The sequence below is a fragment of the Homo sapiens genome, chromosome 5 (genome assembly GCF_000001405.40).
Source record: "Homo sapiens chromosome 5, GRCh38.p14 Primary Assembly".
Classification (NCBI taxonomy): Eukaryota; Metazoa; Chordata; class Mammalia; order Primates; family Hominidae; genus Homo; species Homo sapiens.
The window spans coordinates 138,546,214-138,553,755 of NC_000005.10; positions in this window are offsets into that span (position 1 = coordinate 138,546,214).

The following is a 7,542-nucleotide window of genomic DNA, read 5'->3' on the forward strand; positions in this document are numbered from 1 at the left end:
ATTGCAGGCCCAGGTAGCCCCAAAAGCTCCTTGCCTAGTTGCTGCAAATTCACCATCTCTGCATTTAGAATTAGAAATCAGTGCATTAGAGGCAAAGGCTGGGATAACTATCTACGTGAAGAGGTTTGGGATGTATGAAGCACGGATGGTAGTGCCTGCATCAAGGCTTTTTAAATGGGACCATGACGATTCATTGTTGAGGAATGTTCTGTGATATAAAAGTGATACAGATTTTTCAAACTGCTAAATGGTGAGAACAAAATATATAACCTCTCTAGGCACACAGATTCTCTGAAAAATAAAGGAATTGTTCTTTATGATCTCAGAACTTCCTCCTCAGCTCAAACATTATGTAACAAAGTTAAATATTGGGATATAGGTGATGTTCCTACCTAATTAGGTGGGAGTAGGCAAGTAAGTTTTTGTTTCATTTTCTTTTTTTTTTTTGAGGCAGGGTCTCACTGTTGCCCAGGCTGGAGTACAGTGGTACGATAATAACTCACTGCAACCTTGACCCCAGGACTTAAGCGATCCTTCCACCTCAGCCTCCCTAGTAGCTGGGACCACAGGCGTGGGCCATGATGCCTGGCTAATTTTTGTATTTTTAGTAGAGATGGGGGTTTCACCATGTTGCCCAGGCTGATCTCGAACTCCTGACCCCACGTGACCCACCTGCCTCAGCCTCCCTAGTAGCTGGGACCACAGGCGCAGGCCATGATGCCTGGCTAATTTTTGTATGTTTAGTAGAGATAGGGGTTTCACCATGTTGCCCAGGCTGATCTCGAACTCCTGACCTCACGTGACCCACCTGCCTCAGCCTCCCAAAGTGTTGGGATTACAGGCCTGTTATAAGTTTTGATGTTGAAAGCACAAATAAGTCTTTGTGCTTAGAGAGAACTGGTCTCTACAAAAACAAGAAAAAAAAATCAGCCAGGCACAGCAGCATGTGCCCCTAGTGCCAGCTACTGAGGAGGCTGAGGCAGGAAGATCACCGGAGCCCAGGAGTTTGAGGTTACAGTGAGCTGTGATCACTGCACTCCAGCCTGGGTAACAGAGCAAGACCCTTTCTCAAAAAAAAAAAAAAAAAAAAGCTACAGAATGAGGTTATTTGTCACTAATGTGAAGATAAGTTTAAGAGTAACGAAGATAGACCACACACAGTGACTGATGCCTGTAATCCTAGGACCTTGGGAGGCCGAAGCAGGAGGATTGCTTGAACTCAGGAGTTGGAGTACAGCCTGAGCAACCTAGTGAGACCTCATCTATACTACAAATTAAAAAAAAATTTAGCTGGGCATGGTGGTGCACACCTAAGTCGTCCCTAGTAGTAGTCCCTAGCTACTCAGGAGGATCACTGGAGTTCAGGAAAAAAAAAAAAAAGAGTAGCCAAGATGAAGGCAGGGAAGGGATGGTTGTGGTAAGATTTGCTAAAGGGCTGCCTTTGACTCTTCTGGAAGTCAGTGTGCTTGTTAGAGGAAAGTTTTCTCTTTTTTTTTTTTTTTTGATACGTAGTCTCGCTCTGTCACCCAGGCTAGAGTCAGTGGCGCAATCTCAGTTAACTGCAACCTCCGCCTCCCGGGTTCAAGGGAGTGATTCTCCTGCCTCAGCCTCCTGAATCGCTAGGACTACAGGCGTGCACCACCATGCCCGGCTAATTTTTGTATTTTTAGTAGAGACGGGGTTTCACCATATTGGCCAGGCTGGTCTTGAACTCCTGACCTTGTGATCCACCTGCCTCAGCCTCCCAAAGTGCTGGGATTACAGGTGTGAGCCACTGCGTCCGGCCAGGATATCTTATAAGTTAAAGTAAATGAAGACCTAAGCTGTAGTAGTACAACATAAAATAAGATTTAAGGTTTTTATAAATTGACCTAGGACAAGTTGTTTATGGAGTGCAGTGTGTGTGAAAGGGACTTGGAATGGGCAAGTGTAAGATATCCTTTGTTCCCCTGTGGACACCTAGTGGTGAAATGTAATTCTTCAGTTGAAGAGGGGACTGCAGCTAAGGAATGACAGTTTCCTCTCTAGAGGATCAGACATCTCTACATGAATTTGTAGTGTTGTTAAATTAAGCACACACTGGCCATTAATGCTTTACTGTGTAATGATTTCCTCCTTTAAGAAAATAAGGCCCACGGAGAACTAAAAGTTAATGTTTTTCTCATTCTCTCAGTGTAAAAAAAGGTGTGTGTGTGTGTGTGTGTGTGTGTGTGTGTGTGTGTGTGAGTGAGTGACAGAATACCTGTTCTAGGGAGAGCTCATTAGCTGGGGTCTATCTCTAGCATATAAGAGAGTATTTATAGGGAGAGCCTGAATCCTGCCCTTGGCCCACCTGAAGAGGCAAGTGTTTAATGTTGCCAGTTGCCAGTGGTGCCTTGTTTGACTCAATAGAGACACTTGTAGAATAGCTAGACAAATGTTAATCTTTTAGTTCAATTCCATAAATATTTATTGCATGCCACTTTTTTGGTCCAGCACTGGGACAAGTGCTGAAAATTTTTAGATGTAATTCAGTCCTTATATTTATGGTCTTTTGTGGGGGTGCAGGGGAGACATAGGGTTGTTAAACAAGTAAGATAACAGATAAAATAAATAGTTGTTTCTTGGACTGAAGCAGAAATGAACAAGGTGAGCCTGGAACATCTTGTTATATCAGTAAGCAAAGAAAGTAACATGGACTACTGGGGTTTTGTCAAAACGACTTAAGGGCCAACAGGAAGAGGCTCTCAGGCCAAGGTTAGAACAATTTGAGTATCACTAAGAAAGGTTGCAATGAAGTGAAACATAAAAAGTCGAAATCCATGAGTTCATGATGACACCCAAGAAACCTAATTTCCCCACTTTTGATTATGGAATTAATTCTGAAAACTAGTAAATTAAGGAAAAGAGCTAAACATTTAACTGGTCTTCCCTTATATGTAGGTACATTGCAGTGTAACTTGGTACTTGTTAAAAGGGGAATTTTCTCACTATAGAGGTATTCCAATAAAAATGAAAAGACAGAAGTAAAATAATATACCTTTAATCAAATTAGAGATCTAGGTAATGATCATCAGTGGCTACTAACATGACAAAAGAGCCAACCGAAATTATGTTTGGAATTCATATAATATTTTAAATTCTGATGGAAATACACATCACCTGTTGTAGAAAAATGAAACAGGCTGGGCGAAAGGCTCATGCTTGTAATCCCAGTGCTTTGGGAGGCCAAGGTGGGAAGATCACTTGGCTCAAGGAGTTTGAGACCAGCCCGAACAATATACTTAGCAAGAGTGCCATTTCTACAAAAATCATTTTAAATTAGCTGTGTGTGTGGTGGCGAGCACCTGTATGTAGTCCTAGCTGCTTGGGAGGGTGAGGCAGGAGGATTGCTTGAGCTCAGGAGTTTGAGGTTACAGTGAGCTATGATAGCACCACCCACTCCAGCCTGGGGAACAGAGTGAGATCCTATGTCAAAAAAACTGAACTTGAATTGGATTAAATGGGACGAAGGAATACATTAAATTACATCACAGGGAAGCAATTAGTAAAATCTAGAATGTAGGAGACGCTACGGGACCAGTGGTCCAGTTTCTAAAATAAATTGCAAAGGGGAAAAAAGGCAGGGAAGCCTAAATTGAAAGGAACTTGGACATGTCAAACTATGTGGGTGTGACGCTTGGTTCCTGACTCAGATCAACTTTAAAGTTATGAGACTATTGGGAAAAGCATATTCTTGTTTGCTATAAAGATGTTAAAAGGTGTGAAAATTATATATATATATATATTTATTATTATTATTATTTTGTTTTGTTTGAGACGGAGTCTCGCACTCTTGCCCAGGCTGGAGTGCAGTGGCGCGATCTCAACTCAATGCAAGCTCCGCCTCCCGGGTTCACGCCATTCTCCTGCCTCAGCCTCCCGAGTAGCTGGGACTACAGGTGCCCGCCACCACGCCCGGCTAATTTTTTGTATTTTTAGTAGAGATGGGGTTTCACCGTGTTAGCCAGGATGGTCTTGATCTCCTGACCTTGTGATCCACCCACCTTGGCCTCCCAAAGTGCTGGGATTACAGGCGTGAGCCACAGAGCCTGGCCAACAATGATATGTTTTGTAGTATAATCCTTTTAGAAGTACATACTTTCGGCCGGGCGTGGTAGCTCACGCCTGTAATCCCAGCACTTTGGGAGGCCGAGGCGGGCGGATCATGAGGTCAGGAGATTGAGACCCTTCTGGCTAACACGATGAAACCCGTCTCTACTAAAAAATACAAAAAAAAAAAAAAAAAAATTAGCCGGGCATGGTGGCGGGCGCTTGTAGTCACAGCTACTCGGGAGGCTGAGGGAGGAGAATGGCGTGAACCCGGGAGGTGGAGCTTGCAGTGAGCTGAGATTGCGCCACTGCATTCCAGCCTGGGCAACAGAGCGAGACTCTGTCTCAAAAAAAAAAAAAAGTATATACTTTGAGTCAAATTATGAATTCTAGCATTTGCTTCAAAATAATCCAGAAGGTAGGGAAAAATGTAATAAAAGAGATGAAGGCCAGGCATGGTGGGAGGCTGAGGTGGATGGATCACTTGAGCTCAAGAGTTTGAGACCAGCCTGGCCAACATGGCAAAACCCTGTCTCTACTAAAAATACAGTTAACCAGGCGTGGTGGTACATGCCTGTAACCCCAGCTAATACTCAGGAGGCTGAGGCAGGAGAATCGCTTGAACCCAGGAGGCAGAGGTTGCAGTGAGCTGAGATTGTGCCACTGCACTCCAGTCTGGGTGACAGAGCAAGACTCCATCTCAAAAAAGAACAAAGAACAAAAAGATGAAGTTGCTAAATGGAACATTAAGTAATTAAAAAATAAGAGCGTAGGGAAGGGTGTGGTGGCTCATGCCTGTAATCCCAGCACTTTGGGAGGCCGAGACGTGTGGATCGCCTGAGCTCAGGAGTTTGACACCAGCCTGGGCAACACAGTAAAACCCCATCTCTACTAAAAATACAAAAAATTTGCCGGGCTTGGCAGCGTGTGCCTGCAGTCTCAGCTACTTGGGAGGCTGAGGCAGGAGAATCGCTTGAACCTGGGAGGCGGAGGATGCAGTGAGCCGAGATCGTGCCACTGCATTTCAGCCTGGGCAACAAAGTGAGACTCCAGCTCAAAAAGAAAAAAAAAAAAAAAGCGTAAGAATTTGAGTGAAATGATCTGTGTGAGCTGAGTGGGGAAGGTATACCAAGGAGGTGGATGGTAGACCAAGGATGCTAAATAAATGCACAGGATTGAGGGGATGGCAAATGGCAAAGGGGTGACTGGTATGGTACGACTTGAAGCCATTTAAGCTAGTAAACTTACCATATAATGGTTAACCCTCTTTGGGACAGACTCCAAGGAACCAGTGAAAGCGATGGACCATTTTCCTAAAAATAATCAATACTCACAATCTTGCACTTTATACTCAGTCCCTTATGGACTCCCCACCCCACAACCCCATCACCTTTGACCCTAATCTTCACTTTCTCAGTCAGGGGCTTCAACAATCTGTTTAAGAGCCTGTGAGTTTGGTGGAACATTTTACTTTCCCATTCTTGATTGCAGGGCTGATGCCTACCTTAAAGGCTGGTTTGATGTTCAGCTGCGGTCTTTAGTGTCAAGACAGATTACCTGACCTGCTGTAGCAGAAATGGCTCCTAATAGATTTAACTGTAGGAAATTGCTGATATTCAATTGTTTATCTACTCAAATGCCTGTTTCAGCAATTCTGTAATTGCTAAAGCACAGCTCCTGCATGCTGTTCAGAGTGCTGTAGGTCGCCCTATAGCTCCTTTATCTGTTCCCAGGGCTTTCACTCATTTTGTATTCTGATACTAGAGGTGGGGAAAAGGAGAAGACAAAGCCCTTACAAAGTGGACTTATGAGCCGGGCACAGTGGCTCATGCCTGTAATCCCAGCATTTAGGAGGCCAAGGCGGCTGATCACGAGGTCAGGAGTTCGAGACCAGCCTGACCAACATGGTGAAACCCCATCTCTACTAAAAATTCAAAACTTAGCCGGGTGTGGTGGCATGCACCTGTAATCCCAGCTACTCAGGAGGCTGAGGCAGGAAAATCGCTTGAATCCGGGAGATGGAGGCTGCAGTGAGCTGAGATCATGCCACTGCACTCCAGCCTGGGTGACAGAGAGAGACTCTGTCTCAAAACAAAAACAAAACAAAAAAACCTGGCCTTATGACTGGAGAATAGAGTTGCAATGGTATCTGAAATGGTGAAGGGTCTCTTGAATATTGGTTATTTCCAAAATTTGAATTGTTTCTTCATACCCAATCTTCTCATGCAGTTTGTAAGAACTTGCTTTTATTTCTGCTGCTCCATCTTGCTTGTAGTCACTACTATAAATGTTACGTGGATCAAAGAAATGGAATGTCTTGATTTCCCTGAGAATTGACACATTATGTACACATGTATGTAGTATTTCTACTGATAATGTATACCTCACTCAACACAAATAATCAGGCTGGGCACCGTGTCTCATGCTTGTCATCCCACCACTTTGGGAGGCTGAGGTGGGAAGATTGCTTGAGGTCAGGAGTGTGAGATCCTGTCTCTCCCCCCCTCAAAAAAAAAAAAAAAAAAAAAAAAATAGCCTGGCACGGTAGCTTGCACCTGTGGTCCCAACCACTCCATAGGCTGAGGTGAGAGGCTCACTTGAGCTCGAGAGGTGAGCCAGGTGTGGTGGTGTGCACCTGTAGTCCTAACTACTTGGGAGGCTAAGGCAGGAGGAGTGCTTGAGCCCAGGAGTTCGAGGTTGCAGTGAGCTATGAATGCACCACTGCACTATAGCCTGGGTGACAGCAAGACCCTGTCTCAAAAAACAACATAAAAAAAGGAGGCTGGGTGCGATGGATCACCTGAGGTCAGGAGCTTGAGACCAGCCTAGCCAACATGGCAAAACCCCGTGTCTACTGAAAGTACAAAAATTAGACCGGGCACAGTGACTCAAGCCTGTAATCCCAGCACTTTGGGAGGCCGAGGGGAGTGGATCACTTGAGGTCAGAAGTTCAAGACCAGCCTGGACAACGTGGTGAAATCCCGTCTCTACTAAAAATCCAAAATTAGCTGGGTGTGGTGGCAGGGTGCCTGTAATCCCAGCTACTAGGGAGGCTGAGGCAGGAGAATCGGCTTGAACCTGGGAGGTGGAGGTTGCAGTGAGCTGAGATCGCACCACTGCACTCCGGCCTGGGCGACAAGACTGTCTCAAAAAAAAAAAAAAAAAAATTAGCTGGGTGTGGTGGTGCGCACCTGTAGTACCAGCTACTCAAGAGGCTGAGGTGGGAGAATTGCTAGAACCCAGGAGGCAGAGGTTGAGGTTGCAGTGAGCTGAGATCACACCACTGCAATCCAGCCTGGGCAACAGAGCAAGACTCCATCTCAAAACAAAAACCAAAAGAACAAACAAAACACAAAAAACCAAAAACAGTAAGTTGGTGTAAGAGGGATACCGTAAGTTCTTCTTGGGACCTAAGCAAGTACTTACAATCACTAAAGGGAGGCTCTACTAAAGAATAAAACCAATCATTTC